General features: G+C 32.9%; 1 pseudogene, besides 1 other annotated feature; it reads left to right on the top strand.

Moving 5' to 3' along the window:
• Positions 8,500-9,006: an enhancer, noted in NCBI's record as "NANOG hESC enhancer chr4:96791095-96791601 (GRCh37/hg19 assembly coordinates)". NCBI's record gives its function as "activates a minimal SCP1, AML or CMV promoter by ChIP-STARR-seq in primed H9 embryonic stem cells {active_cell/tissue: H9 hESC(primed)}" and the evidence as "EXISTENCE:reporter gene assay evidence [ECO:0000049][PMID:30033119]".
• On the top strand, positions 10,186-10,283 carry RNU6-1059P (RNA, U6 small nuclear 1059, pseudogene; annotated as a pseudogene).

Here is a 27,576-nt window from a genome sequence, read left to right as displayed (position 1 = left end):
TTGGAAGTCAAATTTTCCTGGATTTGGTTAAGAGAGATTCCTCTCAAGTTAAATCTTGTGTCCTTTTGAGTATTCATGTCATTCTTTAAGAACTTTCTTTTTTTTCCTCCCACAACGAGATATTCCTAGCTCTTCTTGTACTTTTCCCTGCCCCAGCTTTGGAAGCAGGCTTTTCTTTAAGAGGTCCTGGTACTTTTTGGTGAATGGTAATATTTAGAAACCAAGATCCAAGTACTAAGTGGGCTCATAGCTACTGCTGCATCATGATTTCTCAGGCCTTTCAGCAAACGGAGCTAGGAAAATATGAATATTTGTATACATATTTATGTATAAGTATTACATTTATGTATCAAATTTATATATGCTCATATCTACATTTATTTTATATGTATTTAAAACTGAGTTCATAAATCTCTAATTCCATATACCACTCCATATATAAGATTGTAATATGTTCTTAATTTATTCTTTATTAATATCTCCTCCCCTCCATAATGGAAGACTTTGTTTCCATATTCCTCAATCTATTTACTCATTTGTTCAAGCCTAGAATACACAGAAAGGGGTTTCAGAATTGCCATCTTCTATTACTGCAAAAAGTAAACCTACCAACTAGGTTTCAATATTAAGGGCATTTTTTAAAGTAAAATTTATATACAACAAAGTGCGTATAAATCAAAAGTGTACAATTTCATAATTGTATGCATCCACTTGTTATGATTCACACTTCGAGATATAGAACATTTCCATTAGCCAGAAAAGTTATGCATTCCCATTTCCCAGGTATTCTTGCCACCGCAAAGACAACCCACTTTCCGATTTTTACAAAAATATCAATTAACTATACCTAATATAGAATTTCATATCAATAAAATCACACATAGGTAACTTTTATGCCTAGCTTCTTTAGCACAGCATGATGGCTCTGAGCTTTATACATATTTTTGTGGCTATCAATATTCCTTTTTTTATTTTTATTATTTTGCTGAAAATTATTATACCATATGAATACACTACTTTAATCATTCTTATGTTGAAGGAAATTTGGATTATTTCCAAATTCAAGCTATTATGAATAAAGCTACTATTAACATTCTTATACAAGTCTTTTCATGTCTTTTAGGTAAACGCATACAAGTGAAATTACTCAGCCAAAGGCTTAGGTGCATGTTTTTATTTTTGTAAGCAATTGACAAATTTTTTGTACAATGATGGAGAATTTTATATACCCACCAGCAATTTATGTGATTTCTGGTTACTTCATGTCCTCAACATTTGCTATCAATCTGTTTAATTTTAGTCATTTTACTGTGTATGTAGAGGTATCTCATTATGGTTTAAATTTGCATTTCTCTAATGACTAATGATTTTGACTAATGTTTTGTATGTTTATTGGCCATTTATATATTTTCTACTGTAAAGTGTCTGTTCAAAATTTTACCCATTTTCTTGGGTTGTCATTTTATTATTGAGTTTTGTAATTATATATTCTTGGTATAAGTTATTTATAACGAATGTGTATATATTTTGCATGTATTTTCTGCTAGCCTCCCATTCAGTTAAGTGTCTTGATGAGCAGAATACATGAACTTTAATAAATTATATACTATATTTTTCTTTTCTAAATATTAGTTTGTGACCTGTTGAGTAAATATTTTCCTATCCCAAATCATGTTTTTTCTAGACTCTTTATCCTTTAATTGTTCTTCAGATCTATCTTCCATCTCTAGTTAATTTCTACTTGTGGTCTAAATCAGGAATCAAGATTTCTTTTCACACATTAGCAGTTTTTTCAATACCAATTTCTTGAATAAGCTACTTTTCCACATTGAATTTTTTTGGCACAATCAATTGACTACACAAGTGTGGCTTTATTTCTGGACTATCTACTGTTCTACCGATCTATAAATTCTCTTCACACGTACTCACCCACCATTCAATTACCACCTAACTCTTCCTTTACAAATTACAGCTAAAGTCCTTGAATCCCTTGTCTAGATTTTCTATCACCACTTCCTCACCTTGCACTCACTTCTTAACTTACTGAAATTTGGCTTCTGCCTCCACTAACCAACTAAAACTTCCTACCCTAAGATCACCAATGACTTCTATATTATATTGAATAGGCATTTTTCAGGACTTAAGTTTCTTAGACATTTTGTAGTATTTTACATTGTTAATTTGGCCACTCTGTCATGCTTGAAAAGTTTTCTTATCTTGACTTGTGTAACTTCACATTTTCCATTTTCCCCCCAACTCTTTGACCATTCCTTATCCTGCTTTCTAGTCATCTTTCTCTGTCCTGGCATTGAAGTTGATCTTTTTCTGTGTCCTTCTCCAAGCCTCCTTTTCTGTAATAGTCTCTGTCTGAACATTTATATGTCTCTAGCTAACATCCATATGCTGGTGAATTCAGAATTTTTTTTTTATACTTTAAGTTCTAGAGTACATGTGCACAATGTGCAGGTTTGTTATATATGTATATATGTGCCGTGTTGGTGTGCTGCACCCATTAACTCGTCATTTACATTAGGTATATCTCCTAATGATATCCCTCCCCCCTTATCTCCAGGACAAATAACTCTCTAGTCTTTTAGTCATGTACATTAAACTGCCTACTGGACACCTCTGTTTGGGTGACTCAAAGGCAACCCAAAATAAGCTTGACTAAAATTCAATTAATGATTTTCAACTTGTGCTCGTCTGCTGCGCTCCCTATCTTTGTAACTAAGCAAGAAACCTAATTGTGTCTTCTTCAACTTCATCAATTGCCACCATTTAAACAAACTAATGACTATAGTGTACTTGACACAGTACTTTGAATATGAATACTAAATCAGTAACTGTCATTTGGATCAGCAGAGTAGCCTCGTACTAAATAGCTTACATTTCAGAGCCAGAATGCCTGGGTTGAAACCCTGGCTTTCCCACCCACTAGCTATGTGAATTTGGACAAGTTACTTAAATGTTCTGTTGCTCAGTTTGCTCATCTAAAACAGAAATTATAATACTATCTAACTGAGACATTTTCTGGGCGTATTAAATGGCTTAATATAAGCAAAACACTTAGATGAGTATGGGAACATAGTAAGTGCCATGTAAGTATTAACTGTTGTTATTGCTACCACAGACATCATCCAAATTTTTGCAAAGTTTTGATGAGTCAACTTTCTAGACATCTAGCAAGTCCATTTGCTTCTTGCAATTCTTTCTGGCATTAGTTTAGGGTATACATCCGTGCTTTTCTACCTCAACTACTACAGTAGCCTCCTATGTTATTCTCTTGTCTTTGGTTTTGACCTCTGTCCCTTAGTTTCCTCTGCCCCCAAATTATACTTCCTAAACAAGTAGCCATCATTTCTTACCCTACTTGATATCTTTCAGTGGCTTCTCTTTTTTTTTAATAAAGGAAAAGTTAATCAAAATGTAAAAATCCATTCGTGATCTTGCCTTTGTTTATTTCTCCTGCCGAATGGCTTGTTACCTTTGAAATTTCACTCTGCATTCTTACCAAAACCAAAAATACCTTATTTCAGATTCTTGAATATACCATGTTCACTCTTCATTACAGGTTTTTGCACATTCTATTTCTTCTGGGTGGATTATTTTCCTCCTCACATTTTGATTGGCTTCCTCCTACTCAACTTTCAGGTCTGTGTTTAAACATTATGTCTCCAACACCAACTATAGGCTCCTGTGGCACCATGCACTGCTCCCTGTAGAACACTTATCACATGGCAAGGCAATTGCCTGTTTGCAGGCCTCTCTTTATCACTAAACTGCAAGCTCTTTGAAGCCAGGGTACCTATTTAACTTTTATGTTTTTTTATCCCAGCTCCTACTGGCATAAAGAAACAACTGGCACAGAGGGTGTGTTCAATGTGAACTGACTGACTGAATGACTTATCATGAACTAAGAAAAGAAACCTACCATATTTAAAGTGTAACAAATAAAAAGCATTAATTCAGGAATGGGAATTATGCTCACATAATTTACTCTTCTAGGTAATAAGTGGCCCAGCCTGAAAAAATAAATTTTAAAAAAGAGAAATAGATAAATTAATTTTTTAGAGAATCATAGTTTATTGAGGGAATGTTATAATGTGAGGGGAAATAATAGCTTTTATTTTTATAAGTGCTTATATTTTCTAGGTGTTGTACTAAACTATCCTTTTTTTCCCATACAACCATCCAGTAACACACTGTTATTACACCCTTTTTACACATAAGCTAACTAAGGAAAAAGATTATTAAGTAATGGAAATTGGATACAATCCAGTCTTGGCCAATTCCAATCCTACAGTCTTAACCACCATGCTAAAATCCACACTAGCACCTAATGCACTCCTCACAATAGCAATTGAGGACTGCTAGCAAATGTTCTGGAGCCAACTGGGATGAAAAACTGATATTTTGCCCTATCTGATAAACTGGCATCCTACCCCCTTACCCCCCACAATAATTCTATTCTATGCATAAAGCATTCAAGAGTCAGACAGAGAAAATGGAATAGCAAGGCAAGACCCTCTACCATATTTTTCACTTAATTTTTAACCAAAATAAATAAAATTTTCTTAATAAAGGTAGACAAAAATTTTGCCACCATTCAATGAAAAATACAATTCTTTCCATTCCAAAAATTGTTTACCTTCTTAAGAGCTTAGCAATCTCTCCACAGAGTACTTAGCCCTGCCATCAAAATTTACAGTCAAGTATTATATAAATGTATATGTATCTAAAATATGAAAAAAATCTATTGCATAATGCGGTTTCATTTAACTTTTCTAGTGACTGCTTTATGACAGTGACCTACATGGTTTGAAAATGTAATGTGACAAAAAATATATCTGCTTTCCATCCCAAGGACATTCTTGAAAATGAGCTGTAATATTTCAAGAGTTTTATCCTCATGAGTAAGATGTTAATAAATAGATAAATCTTTAATACTTGCCAAGTCATGAGCATTTATTCAGTAGAGATAAAAGAAGAGCATGATGTCTGAGTGGGCTGTACTAGATTATAAAATGTTTTAATTTTGTTACCACTATAGAGTTTAGACCAATCTGACAAAGTATGCTTGGTCAAATGTTGAAGGACATCACAAATGGAGTAAGGTTCCAGCATGAGTCTATTTAGAGAGTCAGACAAAATAAGCCACCCATACCAGTGATGCAATGTGAAATCCACATTAAAATTCTCTCTAGAATGACCTGGAGGAATAAAGTGACTAGCTATGAACCATCCTTCTGCTTACATACTTCCTCACATTAGAGGACAGAATATCAATTAGGCTTAAAGAGAATATTTCAGAAAACAAAAAAATGTTCTTCAACAGACTTACTGATGGATTGAGACAAATTATTTAATAAATATGATACTGTTGATTTTGAAAATAGTTTTGTCTAAAAGTTATATCTGTATTTACATGTAATTTAAAAATGTTTCTGTAGTATTTGGATTGTGCATATTTTGTAATAGCAATAATAAATAATACATAGTATTTATTTAGATGTTGCCAAGTACACTAAATAATTTTCCTATACTTAATCCTATCAACAACCTTTTGATACAGCCACTATTATACAACCATAATAAAAGCATTACCTACTTGAAATTCCCATAATACCATGACATGATCTTATTTTCATAACCAGTGTTTCAAAGATTATGAAACTAGGTTTAGAATAATTGAATAACTTGTGTTAAAATTCATACTAAATAGAGAGATGAGCCTCCAACACAGGGTCTCCTGACCTCGGAATTCCTGCTCTTAACCACAGGGCTTTCCACTACCTTATCGTATATTTAGTTTAAGTAGTGCCATTTCCCAGGTTCATATTGATTGTAAGAAAAACTGCGGGTTACTACAACCCTTCTTTGTTTAGACAAACCACTGCCTATGAATTCCTCCTGTATTGTTTGTAAGAATACATCATTCACCACCCATACTTTCTCTTCAAAGAAACCAATATATTATCTAATTATTTTATTATTTCTTGGATGATAGTCGTAAATCAGTAAACCTCAAGTTAAACCCTGTTTCCCACAATTACAACATCATATATTAAGATTACAATATTGGAAACCCATTTTGAGCCATAAAATATATTTTAGATGTTCCCCCAAAATAATTGAGTAAAATGACACAAATATCTGCTTTTAAAAATACTTTAGACCAATCATTTAATATAATTGCTATGATAATATATTTCTGCATAAGCTGGACTGACTGGTTTAGACTTCTTAAAATAGGAGTTAATTTAGGTTTGTTCTGATGACAATGTTTCTGATAAACTCATAGCAAGTGTAAGCCTCTATTGCTCCAAGATGCAGCAAATTTTGTTCAAAATCAGTATCATGAGTCTCACATTTATTTTTTTTTCTCAGTGAGTGTCAATATGTTTCTCAGAGTGTATTTGAATGGTAAATGTTAGAGTAGAGGTTATTTTTGTGAAAGCTTATTGAATGATCTCTTTGATGAAAATTAACAATTACCAATGACTGGCTTACATCAGCTTCTCATTGTTACAGAACATTTAGCTCACCTCACTATTTAATTATACATTCTGCAAATATTTCTTGGGCATCTACTGGGTGCCAGGCACTATTCTTGTGCTGGGAACACAAAAAATACAAGATCTACCCTTCTTCTTATAAATGTTTTATTGGTCACAGGTATTTGTAAACACAGATGATCCATGAATTACAATGGTTCAACTTACAATTTTTTAACTTCATGATGTTACAAAAGCTATATGCATTCAGTAGAAAGTGTATTTGGAGTATCCATTCAACCATTCTGTTTTTCACTTTGAGTACAGTACTTAATAAATTACATGAGATGTTCAACATGTTATTATAAAATATGCTGTGTTAGATTATTTTTTCCCCACTCTAGGCTAATATAAGTGTTCTGCATACTTTTAAGGTACACTAGGCTAAACTATGACATTTGGTGGGTTAGGTGTACTAAATGTCTTTTCAACTTGAGATATTTTCAACTTACAATGAGCTTATCAGGATACAACCCTCTCGTAAGTTGAAGAACATCTGCATGAAATTTGGTAATTACTATGAAGAATTTTTAAGAGTTAGCATTGTAAGACTTTTTTTCTACTCCTTTTTCTCAGTGCTAAGATTACATACACCCTCTCATTTACAGAAGCACACTTCTGAATAACTCCTCTATTTAAGGCAGCCAGAAGCTCTGCACCGTCATATATGAAATACAAAGAAACAAATCTGCGAGGGAGAGTGGGGAATGAGATAACCTTAATATCTGAAAAATGTCATTAGGTCAAATGCCTTTTGCAGTTCCATGGCTTAATGAAAATTTATCTGAGCTCAAGGATACCTTTACTATATCAAATTATTTAACTCTGTTTTAGACAGTCTGTAGTTTAATAATCACATATATCATCTTCATGTCATGGTAAAAGGTAATGGGGGCAAAACATGTATATTCATCAGCAATAATTATCAGAGGAAAGATTAATTGTTACCAATAATAATTAGTCAAGTTGATAATTAATGACCACAACATACCTACTACAGCATTAAAAAGGCAATTATATTACTCATTACTACATCTCATCTGTATCATCTAGCAAATTATAATTGTAAATGATAATACATATTGGGGACATTATTGCTGCATAACTAATTGAAGATGTATTTTTAAGCCATGATTCACCGACTGATTTTATGCAAAGGATATAATGTAAATAAAGGATATAAATGTAAATTTATTGCCATAAATTTACTGCAATAAAATTGAAATATCCTATCTTATATTAGAGAATGTATATAAACGTATTTGTTAAAATGTAATAGATGTAACTCTTATTCCATCTGGAATTCAGAATTACTAAGACTAGCTAGGGAATAATCTCATGGAATTTAATTATTTTTCATAAACTAAATATAGAAGCAAGTCACATTTGAAAGATGAGAACATTGAGAAAAGCAATAACAAAAAGTAATAAATAATAGAAATCAACTGAAAAACTTATATGTGAAATTTGAGCATATAAATAAAAACTATGTAATAATACTCATATCTCTTCTACCTTTACAAATGCATATTTTACCTGGAAGAGAGAGAGGGGGTACTAAGCAACTTTAAAATGGAAGGAGCATGACAAATATAAATTTTACTTGAAAATGCAGATATAAATAGGATAGGTAATTAACAAGTAGATACAGAGATATATAGATATCTTTATACCTAGAGATATATCTATATATATATATCTATATAGCTCTATCTCTATATCTAGATATCTGTCTATATATAGCTCTATCTCTGTATCTAGACATATATCTAAATATATCTATATAGCTCTCTATATTTTTTTTTCTTGTTTTTAAGTTTGCCTTTCTAGGGCTCACATCTAGGTCAGTATAATTTAGTGGTCAGCCAATGGTCCATCAGAAGATTTTCTTAAATGCCTTTCTTGTGTATCTACCACCTTTCAAAGGGTGATAAGGCACATCCAAACTTCAGGCAGTTTTCAACACTTCTTTAGCTTTCACTTCCTGCTTCTGCAGGGTTCTGCTCGTTCATATCTGCAAGGTCAGTCAAATGTAAATGACTAATGCCTCCTTTCCCATGTCTTCCCTGGACTTAGGCATAGCCCTTCAGTTAAATCCCCATGAATGTGTTGCAGCATTTCAGAATTTTCTGTGGTCAACTGATTCTCTGGGATTTCTTTTTAAATCCCTCCCCAACTTGTTTGCTCCAACTCAACCACAGCCTTCACTAGCTGTGATGTTGCCAGCAAATTGCTATTGTTTTGGTAATGCCATGGGGTTGGGGCCCCTCTTTTCCATACTGAGTTGAGCTCTGAATCAAATTAACTGGCCACAGCACCCAGGGAATAGAGGTTTTACAGCTGTGATTTCTGACAAAACATTCACTGTTCTGTGGGACACTGTTCTGTGGGACAGAACAGAATTAAATTAATATAATTAAATTAATTTAATATAATTAATTTAATATAATTAAATTAATTTAATATAATTAAATTAATATAATTAAATTAATTTAATATAATTAAATTAATTTAATATAATTAATTTAATATAATTAAATTAATTTAATATAATTAAATTAATTTAATATAATTAATTTAATATAATTAAATTAATTTAATATAATTAATTTAATTAATATAATTAAATTAATTTAATTGTAAATTAATATTTATAATTAAAAAATTATATTTTCTAATTATAGTTTAAGTTCTAGGGTACATGTCACAATGTGCAGGTTTGTTACATAGGTATACATGTGCCATGTTGGTTTGCTGCACCCATTAACTTGTCATTTACCATGAACTCATCCTTTTTTATGGCTGCATAGTATTCCATGGTGTATATGTGCCACATTTTCTTAATCCAGTCTGTCATTGATGGACATCTGGGTTGGTTCCAAGTTTTTGCTGTTGTGATTAGTGCCGCAACAAACATATATGGATAGATAGATAGATAGATAGATAGATAGATATCTAGATATTTCTATGTATATCTATATATAGAGAGAGAGAGAGGGAAGGAGAGAGGTTGTGTATCTAGTATCTGAAATGCTTGGGACAAAAAGTGTTTTGGATTTTGAAATTGGAAGGATTTATAAATATTTGCACTATCTATACCAGTTCAGCATTTCCAATCCAGAGATCGGAAACACTTCAATCAGCATTTTCTTTTTGCATAACGTCAACACACTCAAAAAATTTCAGACTTGGGAGCATTTCAGATTTCAGATTTTTTTTATTAGGACTACTCAACCTATATAGTACAGTGCTTAGTGGCTGCACACCGAAAGGAATACAGAATCTACAGGATTAGTTCAGGAAGGTCACTAAACAAATAAGCAGAAGCAAGAAAAACAACAACAATAAAAATTTTCAAAGTCTAAGCAAGAACAAATCTTGAGGGTTGAGGACTGATACCAGAATGGCTACGATATATAATATTTTCAATTTTAAAAAATGAAACATGCAAAGAAAAAGGAAAGCATGACACATTTACAGCCAACAGAAAATGTCCCTGAGGAGTCCCAGATTTTGATCTTAGAAGACAATGTCTTAAGTTATTGTAGAGAAGTTCAAAGAATTAACAAGATCATGTGTAAAGCACTCAAGAAATGTAAAGACAGTAATGCCTCACAAAATAAAAAAATCAGTAATCACACTTATACTAACATTGGAATAATACAGAGAAGAGTAGCATCACCCCTGCAAAAGGATGCAACACAAATTCATGAAGCATTCCATATTTTTCAAAAAATGTATTTTTAAAAATAAAAATAGAAATTATGTATATATAAGAACTAAATAAAAATGTTTACCTCTCACCAAAAAGATATCAATAAAGTATATCAAATTTATATTTGCTTTAAAAATGCAGATATAAATTGTGAACTTAAAAAGACAAATAACAAAAATATGAGTGTCTCAACACTAGATTTGTGCTGGCAGAAGAGTGAATCAAGAAACTTGAAGATAGGTCAATAGAGATAATCCAATCTTATAAGCAGTATGGGAAATGAAAAAAGAAAATGATCAGAACCTCAGAGAATTATGGGACACCATTAAGTGTACCAAAATAAACAGAAGTCTCAGAGGAGATGAGAGAGACACATTGGCAAAAAGACTGGAAAATTTCAAAATTTTTAACATATTAATCTACACATCCAAGATCAATAAACTCCACATAGAACAGATTCAAAGTCCCACAGCTAGAATGGTCAGAGTCAAATGATGTAATTCAAACACCTTTTTTTTTTTTCTTGAAAACCTCAAGAGAAAATTTACATCAATTATCTGGAATCTTCAATAAGATTAACAGCTGACTTCTCATGTAAAACTATGGATGTCAGAAGACAGTGGGTAGCATGTCCAAAGTGTTGAAATAAAAATACTGTTCATTGAGAATTCAGCTAAACTTGCCTTCATAAATGAATATAAAATTAAGACATTCCCAGGATTTTTAAAAAGAGGAATGGAGATTATTTGTTGCTAGAAGATCTGCTTTACCAAGAAGGTTTTAAAAAAGAGTCGTTCAGGCTGAAAGGACACTTGAAACCACATGAATTTAATAAAGAGCACCAGTAAAGTATACTACATAAGTAAATATAAAACACAGTATAAAAATATTTATCACGGTATTAGTTTGTTCTCACATTGCTATAATTACCTGCCACTGGGTACTTTATAAAGAAAAGCAGTTTAATTGGCTCACAGTTCCACAGGCTGTACATGGCAGGGGAGGCCTTAGGAAACTTACAATCATGGCAGAAGGTGAAGAGGAAGCAGGCACATCATACATGGCTGGAGCAGGAGGAAGAGAGAGTGAAGGGGAGGTGCTCTACACTTTTAAATAACCAGATCTCATGAGAACTCTATCAAGAGGCAGCACTAGGAGGATGGTGCTAAACCATTAGAAACCACTCCCATGATACAATCACCTACCACCAGGCCCCACCTCCAACAGTGGGAATTAGAATTCATCACGAGATTTGGGTGGTGACACAGAGCCAAATTATATCAATAACCCTTTCCTTATCCTATCTGTTTTATAAAAATAATTGCATAAACCAATAATTATAAAACACCATTAATAGGTTTATAATGTATAAAGATAGTTTGTAGGACAATCACAGTTTAAAGAAGGAGAGAGAAATAAGCATATTGGAGCAAAGATTTGTATACCTTTGAGGTTTAGTAGTAACTTGAACTGGATTGTTTAAAGTTATGAGCTAACTGTAATCACCAGGAAAATCACTAAGATGATAACTCAAAAAATATAGGAAACAGTAAAGCAGTGAAAATAGTACACTAGGAAGTATCTGTTTAACATCAAAAAGGCAGTAATTGAGAAATGGACAAAAAAGACATAAGGCATATATAGAATACAAATAGGAAACTGCCAGATGTAAATCCTATAACTTCTACTTTATAAATAATTACATTAAATATAAATTGTTTAAATACTCTGCTCAAAAGGCAAAGATTGGCAGAGTGGACAAAAATGTGTGATCCAACTAAAGCAGTCTGCAAGAGACATGCTTTAGATTCAAAGACAGAAATAGGTTGAAAGTAAAAGAATTGAAAGACATGCCATGCAAACAGTACCAAACCACAGCTGCACTGGATATATTAATATCTAATATAAATAGACTTTAAGACAAAATGTGTTACTAAAGAAAAAGTCATATTCTATAATAAGATCAATTCATCAAGGAGATACAGCAATTGTAAGTACATATGTACCTAGCAACATGGTCCTAAAATATATGAAGCAAACACTGACAGAATAGATGGGGGAACAGACAATTAAGCAATAATAATTAGACTTCAGTAACCCACTTTCAGTCATGGATATACCAACTAGGCAGAAGATAAGCAAAAAAAAAAAAAAAAAAAAAGACATCAACAACACTATAAACTAACTAGACCTAAAAGACATCTACAGAACACTCAGTCCAACAACTGTGCAATACACATTCTTCTGAAGCACACATGGAACATCATCCGGGACACATCATATTCTAGTCATAAAACAACATTCCTAAAGAGAATGAGGCAATGAAAGCAAAAGAGAAATTAGAAAATATTTTGAAATGAATAAAAACAAAAACACAACATACCAAAATGTATAGAATCCAACTAAAACAGTGCTTAGAGGAAAACTTGTAAATGCTTACAGGGTAAAAGAAAAAAATCAATATCCTAACCTTCCACTTCAAGAAATCAGAAAAGAAGAGTAAACTAAATCAAAAACAGGAAAAAGGAGGAGATAACAAATATTATAGCAGAAACATTGATAATCAGTAGAGAAAGCCAATGAAACCAGAAGTTTTTCCCAGAAAAGATCAACAAAAATGACACATCTTTAGCTAGTTGACCAAGAAAATGAAGAAAGAAGACTTAAATTATAATCAGGAATTTAAAAAGGGACATTAATACTAGATTTATAGAAATAAAGAATTATAAGGAAATATTACATGGCAAATATAGGATAAGTTAGATAAAAATGCACAAAATCCTAGAAATAATAAACTAATTAGACTAACACAAGAGGAAATAGAAAATCTGAATAGACCTATAAAAAATAAGAGATTGAATTAGAAAATTTTGTGATCTATGAAGTAAGGCCCTGGCCCAAAAGTCTTCTCTGATTAATCCTATGAAACTGTTAAAAAGATAATACCAGCCCTTCACAAGTTCTTACAAAAATTAGCAGAGGACAGAACATTTTCCAACATATTCTATAAGGTCAGTATTACCCTGATTGAAAACAAAACCAAAAATACAGGCAGAGACATCACAAGAAAACTTCAGACCAATATCCCTTGTGAATATAAATGCAAACCCTCAACAAAATATCAGCAAACAAAACCAACAAGATGATAAAAATAATTATACACCATGACCAAGTGTAATTTATCCCAGGAATGCAATGTTGGATTAACATCTGAAAATCAATCAATATACTGCAACATATTTTAGACTAAAAGTCAAAAATGCTCATATCAATAGATGCAATTGCAACATATGGCAAAATCTAATATTCTTTAATGATAAAAATATTCACTCAGTATGAATACATAAAAACCCCCTCCACTTTATAAAGAGAATACATGAAACTGCACAGGTGACATTGTTCTTAATGGAGAAAAACTGGGTGTTTTCTCTCTAAGATCATAAACAACAAAATGGTATTCACTGTTGCCATATTTATTCAACTTTGTACTGGAGGTTTTAGGTGGTGCAATTAGGAAAAAAAAAGACAAAAAGTAAAACTATTTGCAAATTACATGATCACATATATAGAGAAAAAATTCTAAGGAATTCACTGAAAACTGTAAAACTGAAATGAATTCAGCAATTTGGCACATCATAAGATTAATATGCAAAAATTAATTCTATCTCTATACAGCAGCAATAAAAAATACAAGAATGAAATTAAAGCAATTTCATCTATAAGGCATCAAAAATAATGTGACAAAATAATACATTTAACAAAAACAAAACGTACACTGATAACTACAAAATATTATTTTAAAAATAAAAGATATAAATGGAAAGATAACACACATTAATGGATTAGAAGGTTTAATGTTGTTTATATGAAAATACTTTCCAAATTGATCTACAGATTAAATGCAACCCATATTAAACTCCGAGTTGCCATTATATTGTTCCCAGAAAGTGATAGGCTGGTTTTGGAATAGGAGTGGAAATTTCCTTGCATGGAAATGCAGGGATCCCAAAGAGAGCCAAAACTATCTTTAGAAAAACAGAATAGAATTGGAGAGCTTATACTTCTCAATTTAAAAACTTAATTATCAGCTATCAAGCTACAGTTATCAAAGCAGTGTGGTATTGGCATGAAGATAAGCACATAAAACAGAAATGAGAGTTCCGAAATGAATCCTCACATTTTTGATCAATTGATTTTCAACAAGACAATTCAGTGGGGAAGAATTTTCATTTCAACAAATGATTCTGTGTCAACTGGATACCCACATTGCAATATAATGGGTTTGGCCCCTATCTTACACACAAAAATTAAATCTAACTTGGTGATAGATGTAAATGTAAGCTAAAATTATAGAACTGCTAGAAAAAAAATAAAACTGTTCTGACCTTAGCTTAGATAAAGCATTCTTAGATACGGCACCCAATGCACAAGTGACAAAAGATAAATCAGCCCTGATCAAATTTAAAACTTGTATGCTTCAAGGGGAAGCATTAAGAAAGTGAGAAAATGCACAGAATGGAAGAAATTATTTGCAAATCGTATATCTGACAAGGGACCCATATCCAGAATACATAAGAACTTTGATAACTCAATAATGAAAGATAGATAACCTAACTGAAAAATGAGAAAAATATTTGAACACACATTTCCCTAAAGAAGATATACAAAAATACAGATATACTATTACACATGAAAAGATCCCCAACATTCCCAGAGATTCAAATGAAAACCACAGTGAGATACCATTTTATGTCCACTATGATGGCTGTAATTACAGAGATGGAAAATAATGAGTGTTGACGAGAATTTAGAGAAATAAATCTTTCATACACTGCTGATGAGATTGTAAAATGTTCTGTTTTAGAAAACAATGGGGAAGTTCCTCACAGTATTAACCGATGAGTTACAATGTAACATTGCAATTCCACTGTCAGGCATATACCCAAGAGAAATGAAAATGTATGTTCACATAAAAACCAGTGCACAAAAGAGGAAATAACATAAATATCAAGGAATAGGTTTTAAAAATACAGTGTATCCATACAATGGAATATTAGTCAACAATAAAAAGGAATGAAATACTGATGCATGCTACAGCATGGATAAGCCTTGAAAATATAATCATACTTGAAAGAATCCAGTCACAAAAGGCCACTTTTTATATGATTCTATTTACATGAACTGTCCAGAATAAGCAAATCTTTGGATAAGGAGGGTAGATTTGTTGTTTTCTGAGCTGGTGGTCGGAGGAAGGGATGGGAATGGGGAGTGGCTCTAATAAGTGGGCAATTTGGTTTGGCATGAAGAAAATATTCTAAAATTAAATTTTATTGGTAGTTGTACAACTCCATGAATGTATGAAAAACCAAAGCTATACACTTTAAATTGGCTACTTTTATAATGTATGAATTATATCTCAATGTTTAAAAAAAAAACCACCAGCATCCCCTCCAAAAAATGGAAGAAAAATACAATACAAAAACTCAGAGGAATAATTTTAAATCCTCAATATGTTTTTTGTAATGGAATGAATGAATAGTAAACTATAATAATAAACTCTGTTTCAGCATAAAAGATCCTATGGTTTCCTCTTAGTCTAATTCATCAATGTCACTTAAAGTATTTATAGGGAAAAATAGACAGAAAGCATGTCACTAAGAGTGTCAATTACAGTAAGGATTTGACCTCAGGAGAAAGTTTATTTGCTGTTTGGTATTTTTAGAAAAGTATTTCATGCAAGAAAGTTATGATTGATTTGGTGTATTGCATGTTGATAAAATGCTGAGTGGTGAAGTTTTCCTACCCATGGCGCTTTCTTTTCAAAAATAAATAGACCCAAATTTCCATTTCCATCATCCTTGTGATGGGAGGGAGTCCTCTGACAATTTGATTGAGTTCAGGACCGTAAAGGACAAAGGAAAGAAACCCTGAAAACTGAAAGCCTTTTAGCTTCTGAGAATCATTTTCTATTTAAGTTGAGTATTGCGTCTAGAAATTGTGATAAGCCACCGGTGATCCATTCAGAATGGGCGGGCATTGGCCTTAGTATGCATAGATGATTTCCAGTTCAATTTCATTTCGTATGCATAGATGATTTCCAGTTCAATTTCATTTCCAGGCTACATTAGAATGCTACAAATCTAGCCTGGAAAAATTTGTCAGCTTTTGTAGTGTTTCCAGAAGACTTTTCAAAGAACAGTAAGGTCAAGTTGAAAGTAGCCTTACAGTGAGAAATACAAACAGGACAAATAGGAGGGTGTGTAGATATAATCTGAGTATAAAATCAACTGATTTGTATTCCCTGATTATCTCATTTGATCTCTCACCTCACTTTTGCATCAACTTTTGAACTAAGTCTGTAAGTTCTTCCTCAAATAAAAGATGAATAAATACATTTCATTTTCATTATCCTAAAGGACCCTAAACCTTTTCTCCAAACTTGTACTGATAATATACACCTGGGGTTCATTCATCCTGTTACTTGATACGCTATGAAGATAAGTAGGTTACAGACTTTCTGTAGAAATCAATTCTATATGCAGATCATTTCTGTAGTGGTGCACAATAAGATAAGACATGCTTCTAATCCACAGTGGAACCATGCACAAAAGGGAGAGCTGTTTATGGTCACCAGAACTGCCCCCATCTATTAATAATGATGAAAATAATAATAGCCGACAATTACTGGGCATTTACTGTATGTCACAGCTTGTCATAAGCTCTTTAAGTAGAAGTTAATACAACAACTTTAGGAACTAGGATGACACATTAGGAAGCTGAGACATATAGGGTTTCAGTAAGTTGTTCAGGTTACTCACGTTTTGAAAGCAAGATTCCAACTGGAAACGTTGGTCTTGAGAGCCTAAGTTCTCAACCACTACATCTAGCCCTATATATTGGGAGCAGATAGTTTCAATTTCAATACAGTTAATCTATTTTTAGATAATGTTAATCTGTTTTTAAAAACCTATCAGTTGCAAACAGCTAAAGGTCATCCTATGCCATTTGCATTTTTATACAGGGTCACCGAGTGAGATATATATGATATATATATTACATATATATGTGAGATCTATATATAAAAGATTCATATTTTGTGATGTATTTGACATATGAATATATGTCAAATATATTTGAGATATATATATTTATATATGATATATACATTTATCTCATATATGAGATCTATATATAAAAGATTTGGCCTGACGCGGTGGCTCACCCCTGTAATCCCAGCACTTTGGGAGGCCGAGGAGGGCGGATCACGAGGTCGGGAGATGGAGACCATCCTGGCTAACACGGTGAAACCCTGTCTCTACTAAAAACAAAAAAAAATTAGCCGGGCATGGTGGCGGGTGCCTGTAGTCCCAGCTACTCAGGAGGCTGAGGCAGGAGAATGGTGTGAACCTGGGAGGTGGAGCTTGCAGTGAGCTGAGATCGCGCCACTGTGCTCCAGCCTGGGTGACAGAGCGAGACTCTGTCTCAAAAAAAAAAAAAAAAAGAAAAATTCATATTTTGTTTTTGACTAAATATATGTCAAATATGTTTGTCATGTATTCATATATATTTGTCAAATATACATATTTGACATATTCGTATATATTTGACTATAAATCTGATTTGGGTAACTTCGTTACTTAGTAGAAACAAATAAGTAACCTATAGTGTTTAAAGTACTTAATGGAGAGTAAAAAACTTTAACTTTTATATATGCCTCCCTGGACTTTAGATTCCTCATCTATAAATGAGAGAGATTGACTTCAAATATCCCTAGAATACAATGGCCCTAAAATTGCTTTTATAATCTACCTCAATTGCCTACATACATTTCCTGTGCCTTTTTTTATAAGGTTTTTATAAGAGGTTTTTTTTTTTACAGATTTATAGTAGTACATAATATATTAAATAGTATAATTGTGTGTGGTATATGTTAAATGTGTATATTTCCCATATTATTGTTAGTATTTATTTTGTGCTTTTTTGCCATTTAGAAATTTAAGTAATTTTGTATGGTCAGGTTTATCATTTATTTTCCTTAAGTCTTCTGATTGTCCTGTGTTGTATTTCAACAGATGTTTCAAATATAAAATATTAAAATTAATTACCCTCTTCTACTTTATGGATTGAAATTTTTACCATTTTAATCTTTTATACATTCAGAATGTTTTATGCAATATGTAAATGAGAGCTCTATCTAGCTTTTGAGTAGCTAGCCAGTTATCCCAATATCATTTAAAGTTTCTAGCTCCTTCCCAAGTGATTACCATTAAGAAAATACAACCTTGATCATAAATTCTGTTCCCTCATGAACCTAAGTCACTTTATAAATCCTTCATTCTGTCCCATGGAACTGTTTCTTTATCCCAGCACTAGCATCATAGTGAATAGTAAATAGAAAAGATCTTCATCTTTACTTATAGTGAAAGAAAAGCAAATTAAGGTAACATTGAGATTTTTCTATCAGATAGACAAAGATTTATACTTTTAATAAAACAAGTGTTGGTTATAATGTCAAAGCCAGTCACACCAAAAATTTTGATGAAAATAAAAATTGTGCAATGAGGCAGCATCCGTAAGTAATGTAAATGTTCATGCTGTAACCTCACAGTGATTTGAGGTCCTGCTGGGTATTCCCAAGATCCTTTCAAGGGATTTGTGAGGTTAAGGTGCTCCTCATAATACTAAGACATCATTTGCCTGTTATTTTTTTTCCTCTGTAAACATTTGCATTGAAATTTCAAAAGCAATGATGGTAAAATGGCTGTGACTTTTAAAAGGAATGAAGGCAATGTCAACAAATTAAACTAATAGTCATTTTTCTTCATCATACAGTTTCATACACAGACACAGTTTCACTCATAATATCCTTGATGAAACACTAAAAATTATCTTATTAAAACTTGACTCTGGAGTACTTTGTTGTAATATTTTATGTGATGAAATATGAGGTACGCATTAAGCACCTCTGTTGCTTACAGAAGTATGATGGTTGTTTTGAGAAAAAAAAAAAAAAAAAAAAGCACTGATATTAACTGGCCTAGCCGCTTATTCCATGCAACATCATTTTTACTAGAAAGAATGATTGACAAACTATGGTTATGCTGACATGAATATTGGAGAGACACTTTTTCTAAAATGAACAAAGCAAATCTGTCCCTTCAAGGAAAATAACTGATGCTATTTGTTGCCAATGATAAGATTTGAGCTTTCAAGCAAAAATTAGAATTTTGGAAAATTATATCTATGACCAAGAGCATGACAGCTTTCCAGTCCGGTAAAGGCTTTTCTGTGGTGATATTAACAAATATGAGTTTTTTTCATATTACATAATGAAGCGTGTAAACGTTTGGAAAACCTTATTAACCCAGGAAACCAGTATTTTCCAAATACCCATGAATGTGGTAAGAAGACCATTTCAAATGCAAAACACACAACTGCATTTTATTGTAACTGAGTATAAAAAATTAATTTGATTTCAGATTTCACATTGCAACTAACCTTTAAGAAACTTCCATTCATCAAGTTTTGGTGTACCATCAAAGAAAAATAACCACAGTTTTCCAAAAAGGCTGCTTAAGCATCTCTCCTTTCCAACTTTCTAGCTATGCAAAGCTGGATTTTCTTCATCTACTTCACTAACATCAATACATTGAATGCAGAAGCAGATATCATGATTCCGTTGTCTTCTGTTAAGTCAGACATTAAGAAGATTTGCCAATGTTTAAATGATGCCACTCCTCATTTTTTTCTAAGACTATGTTAACATGTGCCACGGTTGTTATTTTGAATAAATTAGCCAATAAATAATTTTTAAGTCTCAATTTTATAAAGCAGCAAATATTGATAGACATACCCTATATTTTAATAGGCTCCTTGCTCTTCTCAATAACTGATGAATGTAATAACGTGTAACTCAGGAATTTATAAAACTGCAAAAGGGTCCTCAGAGTTTTTTTTTAAATTAAGGTCTACTGAGTTAGAAAATTACTAATAAAAAAATCACCTCAGATGAGTGCATAAAATTGAAAATGAACTAGTAACTGGTAAATATTTGACATTTTTTCTTTTTCCCAGTGGAAACTTTTACTGTGGTTATTTTAATCCTGCCCCACAGGTCTACACTGGGTGCAAAGAGAAGATAATCTTGTCTTTTGTTTTATAGTTGACTAGAACCAGAAGATACCTTAGGATAGAAGAATGAGTATATTTAACATGTAGGGACATTTTGCCCAAGGATAGACTGGCAGCAGAGGCTACCAGTTGTCTTCTAGTATCTGTGAGGTATCTCCCAATATCCTACTTTCTCAACAATGAAGTCCATAAACTCAAACTGGGCAAATGGACTGCCAAAAATATGTTATTTGTCAACCATTTCTGGAGCTAGATATGACCCGGGAATGTAAGCAAGATGGTAGCATAAATTCTGTAAATCTGGAATGTGGATGTGATACGTAGCTATCTTGCAAAATGAGGTGGAAACTACTTGTTAAAGATGGTAGCACATAAAAGGAGCTTGGGTCCCTAAGGATAATAGAGCCACCACATTAATCATGGTCTGCCAATATTTATGTGAGAGGGAAATAAACTTCTGACTTGAAATTTATCTACCATGAATGACTTGATACATAAATGATGTGAAACTTATCTACTGTAATTTGAGATTTTCTGTTATGACTAATCTTAATTTTTAGTGAGAAGTGACTCAGCCGTCCTGTTAGAGAAATGGAACTCTATTTTCTTTGCTTATTTGTTATCTTTTCCTAGTGTCAGTGCTATTACATACTACTAGCATAACCAGGGGAGTTTTTCAACATAGTAGATTATGTTGGCATTCAGCAAATATCCCAAAGTATGGTGCTTTGGCATGCTGAGTGCTTTGAACCAAAGGAGAACCAAGTTCTGTCTGATTATTTCATTTGCGCCTGTCTCTTGCTCCTCTTTCTTTCCTGAAGTGTAAGGTGGGGGGTTCTCTAAAGTTCCCTTATCTGTCAAATGATAGATCCTCAATTTTCACAAACCCGCTCCCCAGGAATCTCATTAACCAGGGAAGGGTGAGTCCAGGGAGAAGAAACTCCATGCCCAGACAGACGTTGTCACAGGCTGTCACCTATTCTTTCCATGGGCTCCTCTCATACCTGAAAGACTTTTCTATGCATAACAAGACAATCTTGTTCGCCATGCATGTTCTCCCCTCCCCCTTGCATAACTTGTGTCACTGTCACCACCACAAGGGCCCCGAACTCCTACTCCTTGCTGTACCTCGAGATATTATATAACTTCAGTCATCTGGCCCTTCTTTGAGTCTCAAATGTTGTGGCGCTCCTATGCGTATGCACATAATTAAAATGATTTTTCTCCGGTTAATCTGTTTACTGTCAGGTTATTTCACAGACTCAATTATCAAACCTTCTGAGAGTAGAAGGAAAGTTTTTCTCTCCCTTACAATTATTATTGAAGGTGAGAGTGAAAACCCAATTTTTGGGGGAATATTTGGTAATTTATTTCTAAAGGACATGTCCAGAAATGTCCTAATATTTTTTAACTGGCTGGAAGATTTCAGAACTAATACACACACACACACACACACACACACACACACACACACACACACTTATTTTGCTTGATTAAATAAAGCAAAATACTTTATAAGTTAATGATTACTCATTACTCTAGCAGTAACTAAACTAAAATTACAGCACAGGAACTGAGCTAGGTATGATTTCTTCACCATAAAACTGTGAAAGAAAAATAAATCTCAGAACCCCAAAATCACTAAGCCAAGGGAAAAGTCAAGCTGGGAACTACATCAGGCAAATCTGCCTCCCATTTTAACTCCTAAATAAGATAGCTAAAAAGAAAAAAGAGCTACATACCTCCCTCACAATTTATTCTCAAGGAAATTCCTTATGGGCCTCAAGATCTTTGCCTTAAAACAGTTGTATTGAATTTCATCCTGGCCATGTAAACTAATAGCCTCTCTTCACAGGTGTAGGACAGAAAGTCATCCCTCTGCTCTCCTGAGACAAATACATACCTGATTGCTTTCTCTGCCCTATTGTTTATGTTAAAAATGCAGATTCACTGAGCCAGACTAAATTGTGTCTTCAGTGAAAGGCTGATCAAGGACTCAAAAGAATGCAACCTCTTTTATCTCTTATCTACCTATGACCTGAAACACCACCTCCTCACCTTTGAGTTGGCCTGCTTTACTGGACTGAACCAATGTACATCTTGTACGTATTGATTAATATGTCTCCCTAAAATGTATAAAAGCAATCTGTACCCTGACCACCTTGGGCACACATCCTTAGGACTTCCTGAGGCTGTGTCATGACTGGGTCCTTAATCTTGGCAAAATAAACTTCCTAAATTGGTTGAGACCTGTCTCAGATATTTTAGGTTCACAAATAGTCTATAAAACGTATCATTAGAAGATATCTGGCCGGGTGTGATAGCTCACGTCTGTAATCCCAGCACTTTGGGAAGCCAAGGCAGGTGGATCACCTGAGGTCAGGAGTTCGAGACCAGCCTGGCCAACGTGGTGAAATCCCATCTCTACTAAAAATACAAAAAATTAGCTGGTTGTGGTGGCAGGCACCTGTAATCCCAGCTACTTGGGAGGCTGAAGCAGGAGAATCCCTTGAATGCAGGAGGGAGAGGTTGCAGTAAGCCAAGATTGAGCCATTGCACTCCAGCCTGGGCAACAAGAGTAAAACTTAGTCTCAAAAAAAAAAAAAAAAAAGTATCTGAGTAAAACACAACTCAACTCATTCTTTTTTCCAGATGAAGATGCTTAGAGCCAAAAGGAGAGAAACACATGATCACAAATTTATTTATAAACCATTGACATGTAAAAGTACCAATTATTAATTTTTTAGCACACTGTAAGCAGTAAGACTCACATAGGATACTGATGGCATTTTCTTTCTTTCTCTCTCTCTTTTCTTTCTTTCCTTCTTTCTTCCCTTCTTTCTTCTTTTCTATCTTATCTTGTTTTTTTTTTCATTGCTCAAGCCCCTACTGCCTTTGTCAGCAGAAGAAAACAGCAGCTTTCCTTCTGAAATGTTGTAGAATTACATGAACAGACTTAGTTCAAAGCGGTAGTAAGATGAGCAAACCTGATCAACTCATTCACTGATGCCACTTTTTCTCTCTTCTCTCTTCTCTCTTTGACACACAGATGTTTTCTTTGATGTATAGCTTTTCCATGAGGATTGTAATGATATCGGTTTACTTAAAAACGCTGAAATTTAATGGCAAATCACATCTGAAAATGCAAAATTTTGTATTATGTTTAGTAAAACATAAGGAAAAAATTCATTTATTTTTATTTAATGCAAAGATAGTTATTTGATTCTTCATTAACAATAAGATAAAAAATTTAGATTTTGCTTTAAGGCTGATTTTAGGAGTCTCTGGAACCTTCTGAGATCTATCTTAGCTAATTTTCCTAAATGATGTCTTTCTAAGTGATTGCTTTACCAAAAAAAAACCCTACTTATGTACACAATCCTTTCAGTAGATGACAGTTATACTTTAATTTAATTCATTGTATCTCTGCCCACAACACTGATCTTTTGTCTATTTCTGTGCAAGGTAACTTATTTTGATATTTTATATCATGAATCACTATAAGAATTTAATTAAATTGATATATTAACTGTGCTGTAATTGCCACTGAAGTATTGTGAATGTCAGGCTACTCTGCTCTCATCCCAAATCATGACTGGAAATAAAATACTGCAACTCAGATTATTTTCTTTATCAAGAGAGGTATACAAAAATATATAAGCCAGAGATATCCATTTTGACCCAGGATCTGGAATTAGAGGTTTACCTGGTTTTTTAGATAGAAATGATACATATTTTACAAATATTTGATTAATAACATGTAAGTATTTCTTTCAATCTGTTCTGTTTCCATGCTTAGTGTTCTTCCGTGTTCATGACCTGATCATTAATAAATTGCCTGTCATTATTAATACTGCTCACTTTTTGACAATTTATTCAGCTTTTAAAAAATATAGATTAGTTCTATTTCAGTTTTCACTGAGAAGATTATTTTCAAAATCTTTAATTCACTTTAAAAGCTTCATACTACATGTAATCAACATAAAATTTTTATAAAAATAAAATGCCCAATTTAGGAAAGTCATCACATATGAAAATATAGTAGCTATGATTGTGCACCTAGAGGTATTTATCAATGTGGCAGCATAGATACAACATAATAAAATTCTAACTGAGCCAGAATAATTAAGATAATTAAACTTGCATTTAATAGAAGAGAGCATGTTCATACAGTATTAATGCTTTGGCTGAAACAGTAACATTTTATCTTGCTTAATAAATGTAAGTTTAAGTATTTTGAATATTTAATATTTTGTTGTATTCAAAATTTATACCTTTGCAATCAGATACAAACACAAAACCAAAATTCACAATAAGTCATATTAGCTTGAATCAACTATCCTATATTAAAATTCATATTGACATACTTATATCCAAAATTAATTCCTTCCAAAAATAAATGGAATACAATAATTTAGACATTAATAAGCATTAATATATAAAAAGTTTTAATTAACCCTTTAATAGCTTAAAACCATTTACTGTCTTAAAATTTTAGTTGACATTTTCCTCTTCAACTTTATGACAGGCCTTATTAATCTGATGATATTTTCTCTATCTTGACACCCAAAACAGTGAATTAACAGCTTTGTAAATAAATATTTGGGCATAAATGAAACACTAGATTGATGACTAAATACTAAAAATACATTTTTTGCGTTTGAAGTTCTATGAGAATAATCTATTTTTAGTATAGAAATCTATTTTTTAAATTATTTTGGAATTCTTTTGTAAATTCTAATAAAGTTTGTCATTTAGAACAGTTTTAGATTTACAGAAAGATTGTGAAGATAGTACAGAGTTCCTACATATCCCACATCCAGTTTCCTCTATTTTTAATATCTTACATTGGTATGATCACAATGAATAACACTGAAACCTTATTATTAACTCATGTCCATCCTTTATTTTTCAGATTTCCTTAGTTTTTACTGAATGCTCTTTTTTCACTCGAGGATCTCTTCCAGGATACCATATTACTAGTTGTCTTTACTTCCTAACTCCTCTGGGCAGTGTTGGAGCTCAGAAAACAATACCCCAAAATGAAAGCCTCAGAATCAACTCAGAAGCAAAAATTTTTCTCTGCCCTCCTTCCCTCTTGTCTCTCAGCCCCATTCTCCCTAAGGCTACCTATATAGAAACTAGAATCTCTCTTCACCAAGTCAGGTCTTAGAAACCAGAACCTCTTATCCCCAGAGTCAACCAAAATACCTAAAAATACTACTCCAATTATCCCTCCTCATTTTTGTCTAAAAACTGGCCATATAAAAGTTATCTTTTTAAGATCAAACTATCTTGTTTGACTGTAGTTCACAAGACTCCTTTTCCAGTGAGGGTCCAGCCCATCACCCAGAAGGAAGGAATGAATGCTCAGGCCAAGAAGAATCCAGACAGTCAGCCTTACTGGGTTCCCCACTCAGTCTCTTAGGATTAGATCATACCATTTTTTGTCCAGTCATATTTCTACATGGCTGTCCATATGTTGTTGAACCTAAGCATAAAAATGGACAATTTCCCCTGAATCTCTGGGTCTTCAATCTGAAGGCTCCCATGTATGCACATTAAATAAATTTGTATACCTTTTCTCCTATTAATCTGCTTCATGTCAGTGATTTTCAGTGACACTTCAGAGGGCCAAGCCCTCAGTTCCTACATCAAGCATTCCTTGTTTTGTATGACCTTGACTGGTCTGGGTAGTACTGATCAGGTGTTTTACATAATGCTACTCTAGAAGTATCTGTTTGATATTTTTCTTATGATTAGACTAGAGTTACATGTTTTGGGGAGACCACAAAAGTAAAGTGCCATTTCCATCACGTCATATCAAGGATAGATAATATCAATGTGATTTATTATTGTTGATATTGACCTTGATTACCTAGCTTAGGTAGTATTTGTCAGTTTTCTCCATTGCAAAGTTACTGTGTTTCTCCATTTTATTTTATACTGTGAAAGGAAGTCACTATGTGTGGCCCAAACTTGAGTTGAGAGTTATGTTCCACCTACTTAAAGGCAGAGTATTTACAGAAATTCCTTGGAATTTTTTTGCATGGAAGACATATCTATTCTTCTCTATGTATTTATTTAATCATTTATTTATATTAGTATGCAGGAAAGTTTAATTTTAAATCAGTAATATCTAGCACCAATGATAACTATTTTAAAAGGACAGACCATTCAAAATTTCTTACGTTTCAACAGGCAATATGATTTTTCAGTTCTAGAATATGGTTTACCAAGGAATGGGACTATTACAAACTAACGCCATACTATATTTTTTAAAAAGTCTTACGCTCCCTTTCTGTTGATTTTCCCTTTCATTTTTGAACAACATGTATCTTTACCAGCAAAAGAAATAAATTAAAAAATCCACCCTCAGTTCCTTCTTGGAAATCTTTCAGAAAAGGCAGTTGGTGAAAGCCAATTTTACCTAAGTGTAACTTCATTTTCTCTCTTCTTGACCAATATATTCAGTTTTTCTCCTTTCAGTAGAACTATATATTTACTTTATTTACTCTTTATTTGTGGAGCCTTTAACATGTGTTCAGTGCTGAGTGTAATAGGTAAGTTTGCTATGTTTGGTTCTCATATAACATTTATCATAACTAACTTTGGTTCATTCATAGTTAAATTGAGGAAAGAAGAGATTATAGTCAAATCTATTGCATGTTTTTAATTATGTGGCCACTAGAAAGTACTTCACTTTCCTCATTTCTTTTTACATTTGTGTCAGGCACCCTAGTTCAAATACTACATATCTTCCAGAAGACTATAGAATGTTCAGTTCTGGACTCTAAAAGATCATGAAAATCATAACTAGCCAGTTACAGTCATCTGGACAGAAATCTAGAGAATTTTCTTAGTAAGGCACAGATATTCCAATATTCCTCAATCATAATAGAGTGGTATGAATTCAGACTTCAGTATTATTTGCACATGTAAAAGTCTGACATATGTATAATAAGGGAAAGGTAATGCAATCCTTTGAGATATGCTTGCATCTTGGATATATTTGTAGCCTTCACAAAAAAAGGGAGCTATAAGTGATCGTATGTGTTTGCCACCAGAGACCCCTATTTTCTCAGATAGCAATTCAATTCAAATTTTCCATATGTTAACAAATAATTTCTTTTTAAAAAATGAGGTAAGGGTCTTCTGATTCTTGGCCAAAAAAAA

Source organism: Homo sapiens, chromosome 4 (assembly GCF_000001405.40).
Source record: "Homo sapiens chromosome 4, GRCh38.p14 Primary Assembly".
Lineage (NCBI taxonomy): Eukaryota > Metazoa > Chordata > Mammalia > Primates > Hominidae > Homo > Homo sapiens.
Note: the sequence above shows the minus strand (reverse complement) of the source record. Positions and strands in the feature narration are given on the sequence as shown.